The sequence below is a fragment of the Homo sapiens genome, chromosome 1 (genome assembly GCF_000001405.40).
Source record: "Homo sapiens chromosome 1, GRCh38.p14 Primary Assembly".
Lineage (NCBI taxonomy): Eukaryota > Metazoa > Chordata > Mammalia > Primates > Hominidae > Homo > Homo sapiens.
Genome location: NC_000001.11, coordinates 14311458 through 14338418, shown reverse-complemented (window position 1 = coordinate 14338418; position 26961 = coordinate 14311458). Strand labels below are relative to the sequence as shown.

Below are 26961 nucleotides of genomic sequence, written 5' to 3'. Positions count from 1 at the left end.
CTGCCTCCCAAGTTCCAGCGATTCTCCTGCCTCAGTGTCCCGAGTAGCTGGGACTACAGGTGCACACTGCCGTGCTTGGCTAATTTTTTTTGTATTTTTTTTTCTTTAGTGGAGATGGGGTTTCGCCATGTTGGCCAGGCTAGTCTCAAGCTCCTGACCTCAAGTGATCCACCCACCTTGGCTTCCCAAAGTGTTGGGATTACAGGTGTGAGCCATTGCGCCCAGCCTGTTCACATGTTCTTAACCAGAAGGGGGTCAATGTCATTCCTAAAACCATCACTGGGTCAGAAGAGAGACAGGTCTCTTTGATTGCCTTAGGCAGATTGAGATTCTCTCTCTGGAGGGTGGGAAGGGGTCCATTCTCACCAGAATGATTTGGTTACTCAAGGAAATGTGGATAAAATTACCTTCTATGAGCAAAGAAGGTAAGCCAGTGAACACTGGAGAAAATCAAGAGTGACAGCAGCAGATGGTATTAAGATCAATTTCTCAAACAGAGGAGGCTCTTTTTTTTTTTTTTTTTTTGAGACAGAGTCTTGCTCTGTCACCCAGGCTGGAGTACAGTGATTCAATCTTGGCTCATCATAACCTCCGCCTCCTGAGTTCAAGCGATTATCCTGCCTCAGGCTCCCAAGTAGCTGGGATTACAGATGCGCGCCACCACGCCCAGTTAATTTTTGTATTTTTAGTAGAGACGGTGTTTTGCCATGCTGGCCAGGCTGGTCTCGAACTCCTGACCTCAGGTGATCCACCCACATCGGCCTTCCAGTGCTGAGATTACAGGCGTGAGCCACCGCACCCAGCCAAGGAGGCTTCTCTTAAAAATGAACCAATAGCTACTTGCCCCAGGATTAAAACAGGAACAATGGAGGAAAGGAGGACAATTTTAGGGATTTCAGATTCTGTTTACATGCATCTAAAACTCTGCTTCAAGTCTTAACAATATACAAGACCTATTGAGGGAAAATAGTATTTGTAAATTCAGGGTTCTAAACATATTTTCCTCCCTAAAGACTAAACTTGTAAACTATTGCCATGTCAAGGAAAGGAAGAACATTTAAAACCATTCACATCCTTTTCCAGTATGGATGCTTTCAATACCATTTTTCTTTCATCCTTCCCTCCACAGATGATCTAGGGTTACTCTTGACAGAGAACAAGAGAAAGAACTGTGACACCTGCCTGCACCATATTTATTCTTCTCAAAATTACATATCAAACACTTGTGCTAGCTTCAAATAATAAGGGCTAACAATTACCAGGCATTTACTCTGTGCTAAGTGCTTCATATGCGTCATCTCATTTAAATTGTCTAACAACCAGTGAAGCTGCTAATTGCAGTGGATGTTTGTTATTTTTCCCACTTGGAACCTGTTCTCACCTCCTTCTGACAATGCTATTGCATTTTTACATGGATAAGTATTTGTAGTCTGTCCAGATAAGCAACAAAAAATTGAATAAATTGGACTTCATAAAAATTAAAAACTTTGTACACCAAAGGACACTATCAAGATGGAGAAAAGATAACTTACAGAATGAGAGAAAATATTTGCAAATCATATATCTGCTAAGAATATAGTACCAGATTATATAAAAAAATATAATTCAACAAAGAGACAAAGAAAATTTATGTATGGGCAAAGGACTTGGATAGACATTTGTCCAAAAACATACAAATGGGCAAAAAGCACATAAAAGATAGTCAACATCATTAGTCATGAGAGATATGCAAATCAAAGCCATAATGAGATACTACTTTACAATCATGAGAATGACTAAAGTAAAAAAGACAATAACAAGTGTTGATGAGGAGGTAGAGAAAATGGAACCTTTGTGCATTGCTGGTAGGAATGTAACATGGTGCAGCTGCTGTGAAAAGGAGTTTGGTGATTCCTCAAAAAGTTGACCATAGAATTAGCATATGACACAGTCATTTGACTCCCAGATATATACTCAAAAGGATTGAAAACTGTCAAATTTGTATACAGAGATGCTCATACATCATCCTTCGTTATAGCCCCAAACTGGAAACATCTCAAATGTTCATCAGCTAAAGAATGGAGAAACACTCAGTGATATATTTATATGATGGAATATTATTCAGCCATAAACAGGAATGAAGTACTAATACATGCTGCAACATGAATGCACCTTGAAAATACACCAAGTGGGAGAAGCCAGACATAAAAGCCACATATTGTATAATTTCATTTATATGAACTATCTAGAATAGGAAAATCCATAGAGACAGATTAGTAGCCTCCATTCTTTGGTTGCTCAGGCCAAAAGCCTTGGAGCAATCCTTACTCCATTACCTATTCACATACTTCAGATCTAATGAGTCAGGACATCCTGTTTGTAAGCACCCACCCAAAATATACCCAGCACTTCCCTCTCCTCTGCTGCTACTTCCGTGGTGAGGGACACCCCAGTGTCTCTCACCTGCATTGCTGCAGGAGCCTTCTGACCAACTTCTCTGGTTTGTCTTCTTTGTCCTAGATTGTTTCCAGTGGTCCCCAGCTCTGGTATTCTTTCCATTGTGCCATCAACCAATAGAACAAAACAGAAGTGAGAGCTTCCCTGTCCATCTGTTTCTCTGACTTTCTGTCCTTCCATCTCTATCTCTGAATTTCTGCCTCTCTCTCTCTCTCTCTCTCTGTGTGTGTGTGTGCGCGCACATGCACGCCTATATTAGTCTGTTTTGTTTTACTGTAAGAAATACCTGAGGCTGGGTAATTTATAAAGAAAAGAGGTTTATTTGGCTCACAGTTTTGCAGGCCATACAAGTATGGCACCAGCCTCTGCTTGGCTTCTGTGAGGACCTCAGGAAACTTAAAATCATGGCAGGAGGTGAAGGAGGAGCAGGTGCGTCACATAGCCAGAGAGAGGTCAAAAGAGAGGTTAAGAGAGAGGAGGGACTAGGTGCAGTGGCTCATGCCTGTAATCCTAGCACTTTGGAAGGCTGAGGTGGACGGATCACCTGAGGTCAGGAGTTTGAGACCGGCTTGACCAACATGGTGAAACCCCGTCTCTACTAAAAATACAAAAATTAGCCAGGTGTGGTGGCACATGCCTATAGTCCCAGCTACTCGGGAGGCTGAGGCAGGAGAATCACTTCAACTCAGGAGGTGGAGGTTGCAGTGAGCCGAGATCGCACCACTACATTCTAGCCTGGGTGACAGAGCGAGACTCCATCTCCAAAAAAAAAAAAAAAAGAAAGGAGGACATGCCGGCCTCCTTTAAGCAACCAGTTATTTTGTGAACTCACAGAGCAAGAACTCATTCATCACCACTGGGGTGGTGGGGGGGGGGCACCGAGTCATTCATGAGGGATCCGCCCCCATGGCCCAAACACTTCTTAGGCCCCACCTCCAACACTGGGGATCACGTTTCAACATGAGACTCAGAGGGACAAACACCTAAACCATATCAGTGTCTGCCTATATCTATCTGTGTCACTCTCTCACTCTCTGTCTCTGTGTCTATTTCTGTGTCTTCCTCTCTATTTCTCTCTGAGTTTGTGGATTTTTGTCTCTCTCTCTGCATCTGTCTGTGTCTCTGTCTGCCTCTGCGTTTGTCCTGTGTCTGTCTGTCTCTCTGCTTCTGTCTCTCTCTGGGGGAAGTCAGCTGCCATGTCATGTGTAAACCCACAAAAGGGTCCATGTGACAGGGAACTCTACCTTCTGCCAACAGTCACCTGAGTGAACTCAAAAGCAGATTCCCCAGCCCCAGCCCCAGCCCAGCCTTCAGCTGGTTGCAACCTCATCACATGGCTCTTCTGCTCCTAATCCTGCCTGACTTCCCTTTTCCTGCAGGGTGAAAGCCAAAGTCCTTACGATGGCCACACCTCTTCCATGAACTGGCCACTGATTTCCCACTTCCTGCAGCGTGAAAGTGAAAGTCCTTATGATGACCATGCCTCCTTTATGAACTGGCTACTGACTTTCCATTTCTGCAGGGTGAAAGCCAAAGTCCTTGTGATGGCCACGCCTCCTTTATGGCCTGACCACCACTGCCTTCCCATTTCCTTTTTTTTTTTTTTTTTTTTTTTTTTGAGATGGAATCTTGCTCTGTTGCCCAAGCTGGAGTGCAGTGGTGCAATCTCGGCTCACTGCAACCTCTGCTTCTTGGGTTTGAGCGATTCTCCTGCCTCAGCCTCCCAAGTAGCTGGGATTACAGGCATACACCACCACACCTGGCTAATTTTGTATTTTTAGTAGAGACGGGGTTTCACCATGTTGGTCAGGCTGGTCTAGAACTCCTGACCTCAGGTGATTTGCCCACCTTGGCCTCCCGAAGTGCTAGGATTACAGGCATGAGCCAACCTTGCCTGGGCTGGCCGACTTCCCATTTCCTGTAGGGGGAAAGTGAAAGTCCTTGTGATGGCCATGCCTCCTTTATGACCTGGCTGATTTCCCATTTCCTGCAGGGTGAAAGCCAAAGTCCTTATGATGACCACGCCTCCTATGTGACCTGGGTGATGGCCTCAGTCCTTCCCTCTCCCATACTCACGGGGCTCCAGGAGGTGTCCAGGGGCAGCCACATTTCTGTGGCCTTTGACCACTTTGCTCATTGCTGGAAAACTTCCCCCAGACACCCACACCTCATTCTCTCACCTCTTCAAATCTCTGTTCAAATCCCACCACCTCACTGAAGCCCTCTCCACCCACCTTATTTAACAAGCGACACCCCCCACCAGCCCCTGTCAGCATCCCTAATCCATGTCCATGCTGTTTCTCTTGTCCAAGCACTCATTACCACGAATCTTTTATTTTCCCCATTTATTATGTTCATTGATTTTGGTTTCTCTCTCCACACTAGAATATCAGCCCCTTCAGGGCAGGGATCTCTGTTTAATTCCCTGCCACATTCCAAGCACCTAGAATAGTGTGGCAAATAGTAGGTGCTCAATAGTTGCTTGATGATGAATGAGAAGTAGAGTGGCACAGAGTCTTGCACCAGGGCCCTGAAGGACCTTGTCCATCATGCTGGAGCAGCTGTCATTTTTCCAGTTCTTATTTAAACTTCCTTTTGAATATAAATCATTCTGTTACAAAGATACATGTATATGCATGTTCACTGCAGCACTATTCACAATAGCAAAGACATGGAATCAACCCGAATGCCCATCAATGATAGTCTGGATGGAGAAAATGTGGTACATATACACCATGGAATACTGTGCAGCTATAAAAAGGAATGAGATCATGTCCCTTGCAGGGACATGGATGAAGCTGGAAGCCATTTTCCTCAGCAAACTAATGCAGGAACAGAAAACCAAACACTGTATGTTCTCACTTATAAGTGGGAGCTGAACAATGAGAACACATGGACACAGGGAGGGGAACATCACACACCAGGGCCTGTCAGGGAGTGGGATGGGGGTAGGGAGAGCATAAGGAAAAATAGCTAATGCATGCTGGGCTTAATACTTAGGTGATGGGTTGATAGCTGCAGCAAACCGCCATGGCACACGTTTACCTATGTAACAAACCTGCACATCCTGCACATGTACCCCAGAACTTAAAAAGAAAAAACAACAAAAAAAGAAACCCTTTTAATTTCAGTTTTGCTGAGCACCTAAGAGTGACTTCCTGTTCTTTGCAGCCACGTGATGAACAAAGGCACAGGAATTCTCACAGCTCCTTCAGGTGTAAAAACTCAAATTCAAAGCTGTTAAGTGACTTGCCCAAGGCCAAACAGATAGAAACTGGCAGATCCCAGATGTTGGAGTCCAAGTCTAGTGCAGGAGCTCATATTCATGCTGATTGTTCCATAGGAGGTGCAATTAAGGTGCTACTACTGAACATAACTGGGAAGGAATTATGTCCAGGCTGGGGCATGAGAGCACAAAAAAATAAAACAACTCCATAAAAGAGCTAGATGAGAATGGTGAGTAGCAAAAGAACCATGTGGAGCACAGTCAGGGAAGTCTTCAGAGGCAGCAAATGTCAAACATCAGAGCCTCTGAGGCCATCGTGCGCTTGGCATTCCTGTCTCTGAAATGCTGCCTTCAGTCTTCAGCATTATCCCCAAAGGTGGACATTCCATCTCCCGTGACTCAGCAATTCCACACCTCCTGGAGAACTTCCCAAAGATACTTTGGCTCATGTATACCAGAAGATACTGAGAATACACTCTGCCCAACAGCAAAAGCTTAAAAATGGACCAAGCATCACTGATGGAAGAATGGATTAATAAAGCATGGTCTAGCTAACATTATACAGCAATCAAAACTGATGAACCAGAGCCAGGGTCGGGAAACTGCCTGGCCCTATTTCTGTGGGGTCTGCAGGCTAACAATGGCTTTTACATTTCTTTAAAGGTTATAAAATAAAAAAAGAAGAATGTGATGGAGACTATATGTGGCCTGCAGAGCCTAAAATTTTTCCTTTCTGGCCCTTTACAGAAACTCTGTCAACTCCAGAACTATAGCAACTTGCAAATCATGCAGATGTATCTTAGAAATATAATATTAAGTATAAAAATTGTCAAAATTTTATATATAGCATGATATTCTTTTTATAAGTATAAAGCCAGCTAACATTTAAAAATAGGCATTTAAAGCGTGCATACAAATGCAATAAAATATATAGAAGAAGAAAAGCAAGGAAATGATGGAAATTGGGAAAATGGTTATTTATTCCTGGTAGGGGGAAGCAGGGGATGGGATGGGGTGGATAGCAGCATATGGTTAGATGAAGGTTCTAGTTTTTGTTGTTCGGGTGATAGACGGTGCTTAGTATCTTTTTAAGAAGAGAACAAAAATGAATTAACTAAATAAAAGAGGCCCCTTTATAGACCAATGATAAATGTGTATTACAAACCACAGCTTATAATTAACCCAATTTTGACACCTGAGGTCCAAGAAAATTAACAAGTAAAACATTATTGCAACATTTACAAATAGCAGCAGTAAGGTATAAAAGTAAAATTAGTAAGAATCCCTCTCTTCTCACTTCCAATGCCATACCTTGGAAACCACTGTCAATATCTCAGAAACTACTGTCAATTGTTTGGAGACTATCCTGCTCATATGAGGATAGAGCCCACTGCTCTAACAAAGAGATTTCCACAATGCGGGTGCATATATAAGACGGGAGCTGATTTCCGTCCCATATCACAGCCTAGGGGTGGGCTATCCATGCAGTCATGGATGCCTCTCACTTGGAGATTCAAGCCCCTTCTATCTCACTGTTTCCGAGTACAGTCTCTTTTCTTTGCATGCTAGGCCAGAGCCCAAAACCACCACTTCCACAGCAGAGGTAAAAGGGGCCACCAGGACTTTCCTATTCCATTTAAAAACAAGGCTGAGAAGTTGTACCTATCTCTTATGCTCACACCATTGGGCAAATCTTAGCTGCAAGGGAGTCTGGGAATTGTAGTCTTTATTCAAGGAAGCCACAGACCCAGCTAACAGGGGATTGTACTATTCCTTTGTGTACACACACCAATGTATCAATATATGTCCATGCACTTTTCTTTATGAAACTATATATACCCTAAATAAAGTATTACTCTTCCATAGGTTGAACTTGTCAGGTAGTGATATATCCCGGGAGTCTTTCCAGATTTACACATATAGTTTTGTTTTATTCTTTGCAATGGTTCCATAGTGTTCCTATGTATGTGTGTAGCATAATCTATATAACCAACCCCCCACGCATTCATGCTTAGAATTTTTTTTTTCCAGTTGCTTGGGATCTTCTGAAAGTCCGTGATGACCACATACATGTATTTATGTTGTTGCAAAGCAGAGAGACACAGTCCCTGATGGCAACTTTTCAAGTTGAAAAGTGCAAAGCAGAGAGACACAGTCCCTGATGGCAAATCTGGCTTTTCAAGTGAATTGGTGTTATTGCACATCAGTACAGGTCAAATAAGTGGTCTTCATTTTTCTTCTGAGACCTGCAGTGAAATTTCCAAGGGATTAATGGGAGAGAGTGTGGTCTGGCTGGAAGGAGCAATTTCAGTAAAATGCTTCTTCTCCTCACTGGCACAGCTAGGATTCTCCCCACTGGCACAGATGGAATTGTGGGAGCCTCACTTTTCTGATCAGCCAATAGTAGGTTGGGGAATCCTAATGTGAAGAAAGGAAAGAGATAAGAGCATTGGGAGAAATGGGCAGTAGCTTATTTGGTGGTTATATTTGACTGCAGATACTCCTCTTCCACAGTAAGATGGATTAATTTTGTATGTGTTTAATAAGAACAGGCAAAAAAACCCCAACAAAATGTCCAGTTCTGCAGTTGGGTTCCCTTTGCCTCCCAGTGCCCATCTTTCCACTTACTGTGGAGTTTCCTTTGCTTCCATACTGCAGAAGTGCTACTCTAACAGATTCAGAGAGAACCCACACAGCTGTCAGGAGCTTGAGTGTGCCCTGAGCAGCTTCCAGGTGTTCTGAATTGGCAATACCCTATCCTCATTAATGCATGTGATTCAAAAGCTTTAGAAAGTGTTAGGAATTATTTATTGCATGTTTTATGAAATTAGACTCTTCCATCCTAGAAGACGATCCCAAAACAAAATTGTAAAACATGCTAGAAGTGAAGAAAACAGGTAGGGGGACCAACACTTACTGAGCAATGAATCCCAGTGCTTTGCACTGAGCTGGCTGTAACCTCAGCTCGGGCTTATCTTTTTCCTTCCAATGATCCTTTGACTTATGGAGAAGCTGACATCCAAGAAAGTTAAATAAGTGGGCTGAGTGACTGAGAGGCAGGGTTGGGCTTCAACCTGAGGTCTGTCTGGTTATTGTTTTTGCTGTCTAGTTGTGTAGCTTGGCAAGGTGTAGAGGAACCAACATGGTCTTTGGAGTGGGCAGACCTGGCCCACCCACTGATCCCAGTTCTGCTGTGCTCTTCCCAGATCATCCAATTGCACACCCACATTTTAGATCTGCCAATCATGTCCCTGCCAAGTCTTCTCCAATGTATTCAATGTTTCTTCCTATGAAGCGGTATAGTGGATATTTCTCATTGTTGTCTGATAACATTCATTCCCTCTTCTGCTTAGAGCACTCTGAATTTAGTTTTGGGGACTATCTCTGCCCACACTCTCTGTTTATGTGGTGTAGGTGGTGCTGACCTCAGCCCCTTTCTCTAGTCACAGTGATGCAAACATCCCCCAAGCTAAGCCAACAGAACATTTTCCTGGATGACCTCCTTCTGCTGGAGCCGCTAATCTAGTAGGTTACAAGCTCAGTGTTGTTAGTGGCCATCTCATTTTCTTGTGGGAAGAACATCCCTAAAATTGATGCCAATGAAGGAGACAGCAGAGCAGAGAGAATGGGAGAGAGAGATTTCTGACAACATTGTTCCAGCACCTGGATCTAACTCCATCTGAAACTGGTAATACACTTAAATTGTTTGTTCACCTGAATCATTAAAATTTGTCTTTGGTTAAGGTAGTTTGAGTTGTGTCTTTTCTTGTATCCATAAAAGAACTGAATATGAGTTCTATGTCCTTTTACATCCTGAACACCTATTTCCCTCTGAGTCATTATTTTGCTAATGCTTCTGTTAGACATGTCACCCTCCCAACATATTTTGCACAATGTACTATCTAAGGAGGTACAGTCATACAGGAATATCTTGATAAAGGCACAATCCTTTGATCCACCCATGTGTACATAGAATCTGGAGGGCTTTTTTTTTTTTTTTTTTTTTTTCAGTTAGGGATGTCTTCTTAAGTATTCTTAGAGTTTCTTTTTTTTTGAGACAGAGTCTTGCTCTGTTGCCCAGGCTGGAGTACAGTGGTGCAATCTCGGCTCACTACAAGCTCCACGTCTCGGGTTCACACCATTCTCCTGCCTCAGCCTCCCGAGTAGCTGGGACTACGGGCGCTCACCACCACGCCCAGCTAATTTTTTGTATGTTTAGTAGAGACAGGGTTTCACTGTGTTAGCCAGGATGGTCTCAATCTCCTGCCCTCATGATCTGCCTGCCTCGGGCTCCCAAACTGTTGGGATTACAGGCGTCAGCCACCATGCCTGGCCTCTTAGAGTTTCTTAAGAATGCATGCGTACAACACACATATGCGAGAGACTTCACAAAGTAAGGGAGGTTTTGGAAGGGGAGGGGAATTGAGAATAGAGAAGCTATGCAGAGGAAAATGGAAAAGCATAGTAAATAAAGCAATATATCTCTTCTTAAATTCACACATACATATCACTTTTATCTATTGTAGCTAAAGAAACTGAGATTGGTAGGAGAAGGAACATTCTGATAAGGACAGAAAAGAACTGGAAGAGATTAGGGGCAGTATGGCCTTTGCTGGAGGCTTAAATTATTACTCCATTGGGGAGGAAATAGGTTAATTATTTTCCGCCTGGTCTATAGTGGGTGAAAAGTATCAAATGTTATTTCCATTACATGAGCCACAGACATTTTTGTTCATTAAACATACAATATTCATAAGAAAAAAACAAGTGATCCATAGGCTTAGATATTAGAATCTCTGATGCTAATGTAATTTTATTATGAAAGATTCACTTCCAGATAGCTTAGCAAGACCATCTTATTTAATTTCCCCTTCTTTAAGCATTCTCATGTAGGCAGAATTATTTTTCCATGGTCTGTGAAAGGGGATCCTTTCCCTCAGCCACCTGTGAATTTAGTATGGAGAATGCGTGATTAGTGTTTGTACAAAGAACACCGTGGGGCTGATGATAGCCCATTCTCTTTGAGTAAACAGTGGCTTCAGCAAAGGGTCATCAATAGCAAAGATGAGGAGAGTCAGTCTACCACAACTTTCCAGGTTTTTAATTCACCAAATCTTTATTGATGGGCACTTGTGTTCAAGGGGCTTTGGAGAATAAAGCATGAATAAAATACAGCTCTTAAATAATTAGACTCTAGGCATTGAGAAAGGCAAGCTCACACATTATTAGTCTAATAGGAGGGCAGAGACAGAGCTTAGCTCCAAGGGAGAACAGACGAGGGAGAGACTGAGGCCCGCTAGGGGGATGAGAGGGAATTCGCCATAGCAAATGAGGTGGGTTCGGCATTCCAGGTAGGGGCTTCAGAAAAGATGGGAAGGGACAGCGTGTGGGGGGACTAATAAGCAGGATCTGTGGTGGCTGGGGCTCAGGAGGTGTGTGGTCAGAGGTTTCCAACCTGCTGGCTATAATTCCCCCTTTCTCCACTATTGGAGAGAACACATTGAAATACAAGTCAGTGACGGTGACATTGTATTATGTATAACCTTAAAGCTACTCTAACTTATAAAAAGAAAATCAACCCTTGAGAACATTAATATTTTATCTTTTTAAATAAGTAATTCCTTGAGGCACACTTGTTAACTTGAGCCGACACATTCCTCCAGTCGTTGCATAAGTGTTTACAAAGTGCTAACTGTTCCAGGTACTGTTCTAGGAACTGGGGATATTGAATCAAACAGGCAAAGAGCTTGTTCTCATAGAGCTGATGTTGGATAGGAGGAGATCCATGACAAACAAATCAACAATAACTATGTACTATGAGTGCACCAGAGGCTATAAAGCAGGATGGGGGAGGGAGACAGGCAACATGGGGGAAGAGGTGATTACTATTGTATGTGGGATCATCAGAAAAATCACGGAGAAGGTCACAAGCTTATGGATGAACAGACTCCTAAAAGAAGCGAAGAAGGGAGCTGTGCAGAAATTGGAATGTTAAGTGCAAAGTCCTGAGGTGGCAGAGTGATTACCAAGATTAAGGGACATTCAGGGGTCCAGGGTGACCCAAGCACAGGGAAGGATGCAGGGAGTGGAAAGAGGAGAGAGAGGTGAGAGAGGTACCAGGGGAGCATGAGGATGCAGAGTTGTGTGAGACGGGAGGGATTTGGAATTTTATTTTGAGTAGGATGGGGAACCATTGGAGGGCTTTGAGCAGAGGCACAACTTGATCCAAGTTCACTTTCAAAGGGCCATCCTGGCTACTGTGTTGTTAGAATGGAGAGTCAACGGCAAGGATGGGGGCAACCCAGTGCAATCACCCAAGTGAGAGATGGTGGCTTGATCAGGTTGTGGAGGCAAAGGTGGTGAGGAGTTTGGATTCTGGATATAATAATATTTTGAAGAGGATAGAGCTAATAAAATTTCCAGATGGGTTACATGTGGTATGGGAAAGGAACAGACACAACAAGGATGGCTTTTTGGTATATAGCCTGAGTTATGAGAAGCATAGAGTTCTCTTTTCCTTAGATGTGTTGGTGGTGGGAACTCGGCGGTGGGGCGGGGGTAGGGGGCAGACATGAGAGATGAAACTAGAATTTCAGTTTTGACTTTGTTAAGTTTGAGATGACCATGAGACACTCAAGGGGAGATGTCAATTAAGCAGTTTGATGGAATCTGGAGTTCACAGCAGAAGTCTGGGCTTCAGACAGAGCTACAGGAGTTCTCAATGTGGAGATGATTTCTCAAGCCAGGACAGACAGGTGCATTCACCTGTGGAGTGGGTGTAGATTGCCAAGAGTCCTCTGGATTGGAATCCCAGGGATCCCGCCACTAAGAGGAGAGGGGGATTCGGAGAAATCGGCAAAGGATATGGAGAAGAAGTAGATGGGGTAGTTGGAGGAGACTTAAGACACAGGGTTGTCTCAAGCCACGTGATGAAAGTGTTTCAAAAGTTGGTATGCTTGATGGTGTTTTATAATAATTTTTAGGCTTTGCTCATTTTTCCTTATTGTTATTTCTCTTGGATTCTCAAATGGGAGACCCACGTCAAGTTTGCTGAGTTCTTTCTTCTACCTACTTAGATCTTTTATTGAAATCCTCCTGTGGTATTGATATTAAGAAGTTCCTTGAGTTTCTTAAATATGTAGATTTGTATATTTTACCAAATATGGAAACTTTTGACCATTTTTTTGAATATTCTTTTGCCTGTTTTTTCTCTCTCTCCTACTTTTCTGTAATTTCTACCATGCACATGTTGGTATGCTTTATGGTGTCTTATAGATCAGCTGTGTCCAGTGATGCTCAGAGGTCATGTCAGATGAACACTATTTGAGTGACTGATCTTTGGTATTTTCTCAGAAATAGTCTAAACATGGAATAAAGCTAATCCGGAAATGTAGGGAAGCAGACACACTGTAGTCAGGTGGCAGCATTTTCAAGTTAGCATCAAATACAAAATAATTTAGATGACTGCAACTCTACTCTGCTTCAGTGGAGTCCATCTGGCTTTAATGCTCAGAGTGATGGTGGCTGTTGTCTTTAATCTCCATGCAAGAATATCCGAGGTGAAAAAGAGAGAGAGAGAGGGAGAGCACAAACACACACAACATGTCCATGTGAGCTAGTGGAGGTAGTGGGGGTCATAAATTGCGCCACCAAAATTATAAAGCACATTAAGATGGCTTTGCAAGTCCTCGTTCCCCCGCTTTCAGCTAATCTCCGTCTTCTAAGAAAATTCTGTACATAGAAGTTACTTGATAAAGACCGAATAATGGCTGCCTTACTATGGCATCTGTATTTTTAGGGTCACAAAAGTAATTATGGTGGTTCCTGTGCTATTTTCATAACTTTCTGTGGCCTAATGGAAATTGTACATTAATTTTCCATAAGGTTACCTAGTTTTGATATTTGATATCAAATTATTTAAAGAACATCTATATTTGCAGCCGTAAGTCTTAGGATATTTTCAGTGGACAAATTATTACATAATAAATGTGGTTTTGCTGGTAAAAATCTTTTAAAACATGAAGGCCATAAGAGTAGATTAGGGAGTAATAACAGTAGTGCGAGTTGAGATAAATGTTTCAAGTACTTCCCCCCCTTTGCAGAAACTTGGTAGAATGGCACTCCATAACACCCTTGAAGCCATATAAGGCCATTATGTCTTATTTTGATTGAAGAAATGTGATTGGAAGTGACACATGGCCCTCTCTAGAAAGAAGGCTTTGAAAGCCAAGGTAACATTTACCACCTTGCCTCCCCTTGCATGAATACTGGAGTCATTTCAGATGATGGAGGCTTCATGAGCAAGGTTCCCTGAGTAAGCACTTTGTGGGGCAGAGATTTCTGCTGACCAGAAACGGACATGTGGTGCAAGCAGGAAATAAGTATTTGCAGTTTTAAGACGTTGAGATTCTAGGGACACTTATTACTGCAGCACAAGTAGCTAATCACTAATACTGAAATTGGGACCTCATTTAGGTGCTGCCATAACCCAAGCCTACAATATATGGCACTAATTCACCAAACAGCAGTGACCAGAGAGGAAACTGTAGTCAGGGACTAGGGAGATAGTGATCCACGTTACAGAGTAGTAAACATTTGGCAAATTGTCACCTGTGGTTACAGTGGGAGGCACATCACATCCCTAATGAACATACACATTTAGACGAACAGGTTGGAAAACAGAATGCAATTAGGGTGCACAGGTTGCTGTGGGCTGCATTTGGCAAGGCATTGTAAGTATGAGATAAATTCAGAAAAGAGTTGGCCAGTTTGCAAATAGAAAAGGAAAGAAATACAGAGCCTCATGAATCCAAGTACTTGAAAGGTTAGAAGAAGCAACTGCTTCTCAACTCCAAACACTAAGTAAGAGTCCATAAAGTCATAGAGCAATAAAACTCAATTAAAACTCAATCTGGGGCAAGGGTCAAATGAAAGGTACAGCCATCATCTCCTTTGCTAAAAACCTCTGAATGGATTAAGGAATCTCTAATAAAGATCCTGCCAAGATGTGGTCCAGCAAATCCTATCAATTGGGCCAAATATCTCAGGGAAAAGAAAATAAGAATGTGATTCTCCCACTAACACTTGATTGGTTCAAGATGCAGTAGATTAAGTTGAGAATAAAGGGAGGCAGTGAGAAAGCAGAGAAACAGAGCAAATAGGAAGATTTTATCTTGAAATGAACAGTGGATGTGGGTCTTGGCACAAAGAATGGGCTGGAATGTTCTAGTTCTGGATCCAGATCTGACATAGAGACTATCCCACATCACCCAGAGATCTTGGACTTTGAGCTTACTGTCATGCCTAAATGAAACTTTGCTAAGGGGAGAGGGTATTTTATATAAGAAAGAAGGTAAATGATTTGGTGACCAGAACATTAGCCTATGTAGTTATTCATACTGTTCACCAATGTTTTCAGGTCTCTCCTCCTGGCCCCATGATCAGATTGCACCTCCCTGCTCATCCACCAGGCATGGCCACGTGGCTTGATTGGCCATGCAAAGTGCAAGCAGAAGTACTTCTTAGCCAAAGCCACTAAGAGCTAGTGTGGTGATATGGTTAGGTTTTGCGTCCCCACCCTAATCTCATCTTGAATTGTAATCCCCATAATCCCTGTGTGTCAAGGGAGAGACTAGGTTGAGGTAACTGAATCACGGAGGCCATTTTCCTCATGCTGTTCTTGTAGTAGTAAGTTCTCATGAGATCTAATGGTTTTATTATATAAGGGGCTCTTCCCTCTTCACTCAGCACTTCTCCTTCCTGCCGCCTTGTGAAGAAGGTGCCTTGCTTCCTCTTTGCCTTCTGCCATGATTGTAAGTTTCCTGCAGCCTCTCTAGCCATGCTGAACTGTGAGTCAATTAAGCCTCTTTCCCTTATAAATTATGCAGTCTCAGGCAGTTCTTTAAAGTATGTGAAAACAAACTAATACATGTGGGATTTTGCTATTTGCTATGCTTCCTCCCCCACCACACTCATTGGGTGCCACACAAGATAGTGATGGCTTGTCTTGGTTCCTGAGTAAGAAGTTAAAAAGGCATCAACTCCTCTCTCCCTTCCATGGCTCAAAACTGATGGAGAGGGTGAATGAGAAATAAATCTTTGTTTTTATAAGTCACTAGATTTGGCCACCATTTATGTCCACAGCATAACCTAGTCCATTCTGTTACTGGAAGCCTTTTCTTTAGGTAGGAGACTGGGAGCATGTCACATTTCTATAAAACTTGCAGTCAAGAGGTTTCCTATAGAATGGATTAGAAGAGGATGAAACTAACTCCAGGAGACAGTTTAGAGGCTGTCAAAGGAGCAAAGAAGGGCAAAGAGGCTAAAGTTATAGGAATGGAAATCTAGTATTCAAGCATGAATTTAGTATTCAAGTGTGAATAGGACTTTTCTTAGGACACCATACCATTTTCTGTGGGCAAATGCAACTGGTTAGAGAATGCCACGTCATTGTTTCATACTTGGTTTTATTTACTTACTTTATTTATTTATTTATTACAGATAGGGTCTTGCCATATTGCCCAGGCTGGACACAAACTCCTAGGCTCAAGCTATCCTCCTGCCTCAATCTCCTGAGTAGTTGGGAGTACAGGCACATGTCACCATGTCTTCTAATTGGTTTTTAGACCAAGTTTTTCAGAGAGCCTCTACCAAGTTTGTTAGGATTAAGCAAGCAGTGGATAAGTTGAGCTTCAAAAATTAAGTCCTGAGTCTTCACAATCATATTTAGCTATAAAGCCCTTAGAGTGAATAGAATGTGAAATGTATACTGTTGAAGCAAACTGGCTCTTGATGGGTTGTGTTCTAATATAAGCAAACGAGAGCCCAGTGAGAGTTCATTTCCCTAGGGAAGTCCATGGGTAAGCTCTCTTCTTTTGCAATTTGGTATCCACCTTCTTTCTAAGTCTTCTGTACCTTCTGAGTTTTGAATTCTGGCACTAAGCATTTATTAGTAGGAAATGTGCTCTCTTTAATAAGTTGTAATCACTGAATTCGGGCTATGTGATTAATCATAGAAAAATATTGCCCCACCACCTGCCATTTGAAATTCCTGGCAGGTTCTGAGTGAAACTCTCTGGGGGTCAATGGTAATAGGAAATGAATGATGCTTTTATAGTACACAATGATCATTTTCTGATCAAACAAATGCAAATAACTGACTGCACAGCTGGCTAGGGCTGCCTTAGTGAGCCAGGGATAAAATTATAAACAGCAAATTCTATTACTGTCTTTCACTTCCTTGGTAATTAAATTCAGACTTAGGCTTAAAAATGCTGCATGCCCCTCTGTAATTAAATACCCTCAATGTTATACTTTAAGTGAGAGCTATTCAACAATTATCAATATTTTATAACCCAAAGACTCCCATTTGGATATAGAGGAGACTGGGCGAAGTGACTTCTTAGCACAGATAACAATCTCCTTTTCCCCTTGCTCGGCCATTCGCGATACGAAATGTTCTGGTTGGCTTTGACTTTGAGATAGAGTTTTTAAAAAGACAAATGCTCAGCATTTCCTTTGACTGTTTGCCCACATCTCGATCAATAAATCTTCTTCACCTTGACAAACCAAATTTTGTAAGCCACGATATACACTTCAAAGAGCCTTGATGAGCATTTAAGAAGTGGAAAGGGTGCTTCATGGTACATTTTTTGCAACTTGGGGCTGCCAGGAAATGCTACCGCACATTTTTGTGACTTTTACTGTTAATTCCAGAGAATATGATTTTTAAAATGAACTCTTTCAAAAATGCCTTAAAGCAAAAATAAATAGATAAAAACAAAAACAGACAACTTTCTTGTTAACTAAAAAACTAGTATCTTGAATAATACACTGTTAGAGCTGGAAGAGACTTTAGATGTCTAACTCATGAATTTGAATCCCATGGACATGGAGGACTATAGAGCTGAGTGACTCAACCCAAAGTTTAAAACATGATGTTTTGATATCAGCATGACTTTGTAGCTGGAAGCTTCAGGATTCCATGCAGCTTGTACCAGTGGCTAAAGGAAAGTCTGCCAACTGTTGCGGTTTTTCTAAGAAAAAGTCACTGTATTTAAATGCAAATACAGAGGACAGGTGTAAGCAACTGCCAGGAAATATTGAGTCATGGCTGCTTTTGCTGTTTATTGTGAAACAGATTTTATGGCTGACGTCCCCCTTTATTTTTGATTTGGTAGGATGGAGGATGCTGGAGGTCTCAGAATTCACAGGGTAGATACTGAAATTATGGAGCAATGGGGGGTTGCAGGTGTGTAGGGTAGAGAAATACAATCCCTGTGATCATTTGGAAGCAGTTAGAGATAAGCCTAACATGAGAAAAGATATTAAATCCCCAGTTCAGTCAGAGTTGTGATTCTCAAATCTGTTTGTGTATAAGAATCCCTTGAGAAATAAATAAAATATAGATTATAAATATATAGATTATAATCCCTCAAGAATTAGGACTCAGACATTTTGAGGAACCTATATCTCTTTCATCCTGCCCCAATTTGGAAAACATTGGTGAAGAGCTTCTGTGTGCGGTAATCACATATTGCGCTTCCCTGCCTCCTCATTCTACCAAAGATTTGGGATGTTTAAGACACATGGGTGTGGGTTACAAAAGAATAGTATTTAAATTTAAATCCTGACTTTGTCCTTACTATCCTATAGCCTCAATTTTCTCAACTTTACAATAGAGATAATACAAGAATAGTTGTAAAAAGCTTACCACCACAACTGATAAGTAATAAACATCCGATCATTGATCATTGTTATTCTTTGATGACCTTAATAACAACAAACTATTCTCACCAAATCTACACATAAGTTACAGTTGAAATAAATTATGAATGAGTCAGGGTTGGGGATAAAATAATCAGATTTGACTCAGTTTAAACATGTGTTCTATAAAGACCTTCTGCTTCAAATCATAATAGAAAAACAGGGAGTGGGTTTATCCTCCTGCCTTCAAAAACTAGAAAATTGGATGAAATATATAAAACAACAGTTTTCAGACATTGGGCAACAGACAGATCAGATCTGTGATCCCTGAGACAAGGGAAACAAACAAGGCAAGCCTCATGGCTGCCCTGATGTTCTGCCCGGAGCTTACACTGCAGGCTGTCGAGAAGGGAGGAGGATCCCAAGTGGAGTTCCGGGAATTTGCTGAGTTGAAAGGACAGTATATGAGTTCAGAGAATCTGAGGGTTGAGTTCGGGAGAGAACGGGGCTCTACAGAAAAAGAGCCCGAGAATCGGCATAGAGCCCCCCTCCCTCTACTTGGGTCTTTTCTGAACACAAAGACATCTATGTGTAGGGTGAATCTCTACACATCTATGTGTAGGGTGAGGCAGGCAAACATCTACCTGTGAGCAGTGAGCTGAAAGTTCGCAGAACTCACATAGGCTCAGGAATTGTTTGAATTCAGCCAGAGTTATCCCTGGTGATTCAGTAATCACTCAACTCATTCACTAGAAACCCTAGAAAGGCCACACCTAGCAGAATTTTAGTAGGGTAAAGGCTTCTCTGGAACCACCTTAATAGAAAGTGGCTTACAAGTAATTAACTGCCACCCCCCAGAACAGAGCCATACACTCTCTAAAGGAAAACAAAATCTAAACCCCAAATGTAAAATTAACAATTTCCAACATTCAATAAAAAATTACCTGACAGGCCAAGAAGTAGGAAAACAGAGCCCATCACCAGAAAAATAAATAAATAAATAAATAAATAAATAAATAAATAAATAAATAAATAAATAAAAATAAAAGGTCAACAGAAACAGGCCCAGACAGTACAGAGATAAAGCAATTAGCAAAGATTTTAAAAGTTGTTTTTAACTCTTTCCAAATATTTAAAGGAAAAATCTGAACATAATGATAAAATATATTGGAGATATATAAAGAACCAATGAAGTCTCTAGACGTATAACATCTGAAACTAAGACTTAACTGGATGGGACTAAATCCATCAAATTAAATACTGAAGAGTAAAAAGTTAGAGAACTTGAAGACATGCCCACAGAAACTATCCAAATGAAGCACAGAAGGGAACATGGGCAGAATCTCATTGAATTGCACGACAATATCGAGTGATCTCATGTACATGTTATAGAAGTTTGCAAAAAGGGAAGAGAAAAAATATTTAAAGAAATAGAGCTAAAAATTCTCCAAATTTGGTGATACTATACATCACAGTCTAAGAAACTCAAGGAATCCCAAGCAGCAAAAACACAAAGAAAACCATACCAAGGCACGCTAATCAAATTACGGAAAACCAGTATCAAAGGGAAAAATCTTAAAAGCAGAAGAGAAAAAACTCACACATTAAACTCAAAGGAACAAAGATAAAAATGACAAGAATCTCCTTGTCAAAAACTATGCAACGTAGAAGAAAATGAAGTAATATTTTTAAAGAGCAGAAAGAAAAACAGTTAACATAGCATTCTAGAGCCAGCAAAAATATATTTCAAAAATGAAGGCAAAATACTTTTCTAGACATACAAAACTTGAGAGAATTTGTCACTGAAAGGCTTGTGTTACAAGAGATGTGAGAGGAAATTCTTCATTGTAAGAATCTATATCAATGAATAAAGAACACTGGAAATAAGTGGGTAAATATAAAGTAAATTGTTTCTCATTTTAAGTTCCTTTAAAAGATAAATACCTGTTTAAAATGAAAACAATAAAAAGGTATCAGGAGGTTGATAACATATGCAGAAACAAAATCTATGATAACAGTAGCACAAAAAATGGAAAAGGGGAAAAAAGAATTTTCTTATAAGGTTCTAATATTGGTACATGAAATGATAAGGCATAATTTAAAGTTAGGCTGTGATAACCCAGAGATAAATAATGTAAACCACAGCCCCCTAAAAAATAAAGTGCAATAACTCCTCACTTTATGTCATGGATAGGTTCTTGGAAACTGTGACTTTAAGTGAAATGATGTATAGCAAACCAATTGTTTTTTTTTCTCATCAATGTTATAATGAAACAATGTTATTCAAGGACCTGCTGTGTGTTGTTTCACTTAAATTTGCCATTTCCAAGAATTCATTGATGACATTAAAAGAAGACTCACTGTATAGCTAATAGGTCAATAATGAAGATGGAGAAAAAGACAGAACCCTCAGAAATACTCAAATATTCTGAAAGAAGGGAGAAAAAAAGGGAAAAAAACAGATGGAGCAAACAGAAAACACATAGCAAAATAATAGACTTCAGCACACACATATAATAAATACATCAAATGTAAGTGATCCAAACATTACATTTAAATGGCAGAGACTGTTAAGCTAATTTTTTTAGAAAGCAAGAACCAATTATGTATTATGTACAAGAAATCTACTTTAGATATGAAAACACAAATAGATTAAAAGTCAAAGGCAGGTAAAAATTATACCATGTAAGCAATAAATCATAAGAAAGCTACAGTAGCTATATTGACATCAATGAAATAGGCTTTTGAAAAAGGAATATTAAGAGGGATAAAGATGAATATTGTACAATGATATAGGGGTCAATTCATCAAGAGGCCATAACAACCCTAAATAACAGAGCTTCAAAATCAATCTTTATGAAACAAAAAATGACAGAACTGAAAGCAGAAGGTCACATATCCGCAAGTAGTGAGAAACTGCAGCACTCTTCTCTCAATAATCAATAGAAGAAGTGGACAGAAAATCAGTAAATATATAGGAAACATGAACAATACTCAACCAATCTGACCTAAGTGACATTTATAGACTACTTCAACAGACCCAATAATGGAGTAAACTTTCATCTCAAGTCCATATGTAATATTCACCAAGATAATCATATTCTGGGCCCCCAAACAAGGCTTTCAATAAATTGAAAAAAATTTAAAATCATACAGACTGTTTTTTCACCACTATGGAATTAAATTAGAAACCAATGATAGAAAAATATCTGGAAAATTCTCAGATAACTAGAAATTAAGCAATATACTTCTGAATAATCCATGGGCAAAAAAACAAATCATGTGTGAAATTAGAGAAATATTTTGAACTAAATAAAAATGAAAACATAACAACATACAAAATTTAGGGATTTATGACTTTGAATGCTATAAAAATGCTATAAAAAGAAAAACGAATAGCTTAAAATCAATGACTAAGTATTTCCCTAAGAATCTAAATAAATAAGCAGATTAAACCCAAAATGCATAGAAGGAAAGTAAAGGTAACAGCAGACATCAATAAAATAGAAAATGGACAAGCAATAGAGAAAAATCAATTAAATCAAACTTTAAAAAATCAATAAAGTTAATAAACCATTAGCTAGGTTGATCAAGTAACAAAGGGAGAAGACACAAATTACCAATATTAGGAATGAAATTTGAGACATCACTAGAGACCCTGCAGATATTAAAATGATATTATGGAAATATTATGTACCACTTCTTACCAATAAATTTAACAATATAATTGAAATACACAAATTCCTTGAAAAATACGAATAAACAAAGTGAACACAAGAAAAGTAACATAAAGAACTCTTACAACTGAAAACAGAATGGGCAAAAGACTTGAACAGATACTTCACCAGAGAAGAAACAGACATTTTACCTGTCCAGGAAGTACATGAAAAGATGTACAATATCATTAAGCCATCAGAAATTTCAAATGAAAACCACAAAGGGATGCCAATACATATCCACACAGATGACTAAAGTTTAAAGACTGGTAATATAAAGTTTGGTGCAGATGCGGAGCTACGGGAAAGTTAATACATAGCTGGTGGGAATGTGAAATGGTAAAACTACCTGGGCAGAAGTTGGGCAGCTTGCATAAAGTTAAATGATATTTGCCATTAGACATAGCAATTCCACTTGCACTATATACCCCCAAAATATAAAAAAAAAATGTTCATACAAAGACTTGTACATGAATGTTTACAGCAACCTTATTCATAGAAGCCATAAATTGGAAACAACCCTAATATTAATTACCAGGTGAACAGTAAACAAATTATGGTATACACTTTCAAGGGAATACATTCAACAGTATAAAAGGAACACACTGTTGATATAGGCAACACTAGGGATAAATCTTTAAAAACATGCTAAGAGAAAGACTCCAAACACAAAAGAGGACATACTACATCATCCCATTTATATGAAATTCTAACAAAGACAAATTTGGTCTATAGTGTTAGAAAGCAGGTCAGTGTCTGCCTGGGCTGGGATGGGAGGCTGGCTATAAACAAAGGAAGGGCATGAGGAAATATTTTAAGGTAATATTAATGTTTTATGTCTTGATTCTAGTGGTGGTTATACAGGCATCTATATGTGTCAAAACTCATCAAATTGTATAATTAAAGTATATATGCTTTGTTAAATATTAGATGTATTATATGTAATTATTACTTATTGAAAGAGCAAAGTTGATTTTAGAAATACGTTCCATAACACTATCTGCTTCACTGTTTAGTTCTGTATGTATTCATTTATAAAATGTTTGGTTGCCAGACACTGTGCTAGGGCTTTGGGAAAAACAGAGATGGATGAACCAGACAAGGAACTTCCCTTAAGGAACATTTCTTCTGTGGTTTTGGAGACAGATAAAGAACAAGGGAATAAAATGAAAGAAGTGACTGTCATACAAAACTTGAATATGAATGTTTATAACAGCATTATTCATAATAGCCAAAAAGTGAAAAAGAAAAACAGTTGTCCATCAACTGATGAATGGATAAACAAAATGTGGTATATCCATAGAATGGCATGTATTCAGCAACATAAAGGAATGAAATTTTGATACAGCATTGATGAACCTTGAAAATATTATGCTGAGTGAAAAAGCCAGATGCAAAAGGCCACGTACCACATGATTCCACTTATATAAAACACCCATAACTGATAAATTTATAGATACACAAAGTAGGGAAGTGGTTTCCAGGGACTGGGGAGAAGGGAGAATGGGGAGTGGCTGCTAATGGATTCTGACATTTTTTGGGGAGTAATGAAAATATTCTGGAATTAAATAATGATGGTGATTGCACAACCATGTGAATATACTAGAAACCACTGACCCTCTACACTTTAAAAGAATGAATTTTACAGTAGGTAAATTGTATCTTAATAAAAATTTACTTTTAAACAACAAAAAAAAGAATGAAAGAATGATGTCATGTCATTACAAGAATGAGGATGCAGTGATTGAGAACTGCGTAGAGTGGAAAGAAGCCTCACGAATGGAGCTTTGAGAAAAGGCCCATCCCGTGCCAAAAGGCCTAGACTCATGAAAGTGTCTTGTCCAAACTTAAAAGCCAACAGGAATCTCATGTAACCAGGACATAGGGAATGGAGGCAAAGATGGTAGACAATGAGGTCAATGAAGATAAACAGGGCCAGATCAAGTATATCAGAGTGATGAGTCTGGGTAATGTGGAAGGAGTGGAAATTTTATGGTTTTAAATTTGAACAGCTTTAAGTAGACAGTTATCATAGAAGTTTCTGACAAATCTAACTGCAAGATGACCACAGTAGGTGTTGCAAGATCAGGTCAAAGTGGAGAGCTCACTCCCTTTTTCTACAAGTAGTGCAATCTCTTTTTGGCATAGGTACAGGCATATACAGAGTTATGCAAACTCCACACAACCAACAGAAGGTATTTACATGTAAAGATGTGGAAAGAAATAGCCCATGGGAGCTAAAGTGTTTTTATCCAAGGTTACATTTTCATATCTGTATCTAATATCACAGAGCAAATGACTTTTTCTGGGACTAACTTCCCAGCCACCCACTTACCAGTAATTTGCCACTGATTAGAACTAGGCAATTATGATTGTAATTTATCTTTATTAGCCTCATTTTCCACTTGAAAAAGCTAAGCCATCATTTTTTTTCCTACATTTATGATTCCCAACCCTTTTGGAAATCACATCCTATTTATTATTTATTTCATTTCATAATATCCCACTATCCCATGTGGCCGATTTTATATGTCTTTGGGAAGTGTTAAAATTAAATTAGATTTTGAAAAATTACTTAGATTTGTCAACATGCCAGAGTAAAGGGGAGATAATATGGGGTGATGATGATCTAGATGATAACCTTCTTTCACAAGTTTAAGATTCCACAGATGGAACTCAAAAGCAGGTCAAACCACTTAATTTTATTCACAAGAAACTTTGGCCCAGAAAAGTGAAGTGACTTACCCAAGATATTCCATCGAATTTAGGGCAGCAAAGGACATTATTAAAGGATCACTTTAAGGTAGTTTAATGACTTTAAGTGGCTTATAAAAGGCGTAAACACCACCCCTTCATAGAAAGGAAAAGTTAAACATATAAGTACACAGGATTAGTTTTATGGCATAGATGAACATAATAGCAAGACAAGCTTAACAATGAAGTTGACTCATTCCATTGATGAAGCTGTTTAAGGAGTGATAAAGAAGGCAGGCTCCAGTGAGAAATCAGAGACAAAAGAGTACACATGATTCTATTTACAGAGAGTTCAAGATCAGGCAAAACTAATCTATGATGTTAGATGTCAAGAGATAACCTTTCGGTGGGGGGCTGGTGGAGAGGTGTGGGGACCATGAAGTATAGAGCACAGCTTCTGGGGTGCTGGTAATGTTTTATCTCCTAATTACTTTGATCAATCAGTGGTTACAGTGGTGTGCTTGATTAGTGAAAATTTATCAATTTGTATAATTTTGATTTGTCTACATTTCTCTATGCATGTTGTATTAGTTATCTAATGCTGCAAACAAATTGCCCCAAAATGTAGTAGCTTGAAACAATATTTACAATCTCACAGTTTCTGTTGTTCAGGAATCCAGGCATAGCTTAACTGGGTCCTCTGTTCCAGAGTCCCTCAAGTAAGGAGTTGACCAGGGCTGTGGTCTCATCTCAAGGCTCACCTGGGGAAGGATATATTTTAAGGACTGAGGATCTTAGTTGCTTGCTGACTATAGGCCAGAGGTCACGCTCATTTCCTTGTCACGTGGGCCTCTCCAATGTGGCAGCATGCAAGCCAAGAAGGCAACAGAGAGAGTGCCACCAAGATGGAAGTCACCATCTTCTGTAACCCAATCATTCAAGTGATATCTCATCACTTGTCATATTCTACTCATTAGAAGCAAGTTACTACGCCCAGTACAAACTCAAAGAGAAGGGGATTATACAAGGGTGTTTCTATATATTATACTTCAATAAAAACGTTTATTAGAAAAATAATGAATGCAGGCTCAGGCACCAGGCTAACTTGGGTTTAAATTCTGCTTCTCCTACCAGGTGAGAGAGATTGCTGAAGTCATCAAACTGCCTAAAATGTCACCTTCTCCATTTTTATTAAAAACAGCTAATAATATTACCTATTTCCTAGAATGGTTGTATCTATTAAGTTGGGAAAACAAGCAATGTGTGCAAAGCCCTAACGCAGGGCCGGCTAGAAGGTAAGTGCACAGCTTTAATTGTTATTATTGTTATTTAAAAGATATTCCCAAAGTAATCTGCAAAGAGAAAGAAACAGGGCTATATGTCAGGTGTTTTGAGGAAATGAAGACTCTGAGATATTTAGTAACTTGTCTAATGTCACACAGCTGAGCAAGGATTTGAACCTGAGTCTGCTGGCTTCAAAGTCATTTATTTTTTCCTGTATTCTCTGCTTCCCTGTAGCATACTCTAAATGGCTTTCCCCTCTTATTTCTATTCCCACCAGTTCTTTTTTCACACTGTTGTCAGACCAGCTCTCCAAACATGTCTTTCTTCATCTGCCGTTCTCCAGCAGAAGGCATCCAATTGACTTCCATATCCAGTAAGAATTCTCTTCCCAGCTTATGGAGGGCCTTGATTTACTTTTTGTATCTAGGCATTTACTTTCCTGAAGTTCCCTAGCATACTTCCCCTGCTGCAAGCATCATAAGTTTATTAGCCACATGGTCATGCCTCATCTGGTCCCCACCTCCATACATTTGCACTACTTTTTCTCTTCACTAGGATATTATTCCCTGTATCTTTCTATTCATCCATCCACCCATCCATTTATCCATTCATCCTTCCATCCATCCATCCATCCATCCACCCCCATCCATCCAATATTTATTAATTCACTATGCTAAGTACTATTAACAGAACCACTACAAGAAAGAATCAGGAAGGCCTCTGTCTTTCAGAGTCAGTCATGTCTCAGAATACATTGTGTCAAACTCTACCGGAGAGAAAGCCCTGTTGACACACTTCCTGTGGCTTGATTCTGGTCTCCACGATGCCGTCCTGATTATTCCACCCCACCAATACATCCATCTTCTCTAAATCTCTATAGCCCCGTAAGGTCCACTGTCT

The 26961-nt window shown here is 39.9% G+C and overlaps 1 protein-coding gene across 6 annotated transcripts in view; it reads right to left on the bottom strand.

The window, feature by feature from the left end:
• The window catches only part of KAZN (kazrin, periplakin interacting protein), a 1225220-nt gene that overhangs the window by 779625 nt on the left and 418634 nt on the right, over positions 1-26961 (bottom strand). The window lies entirely within an intron of this gene.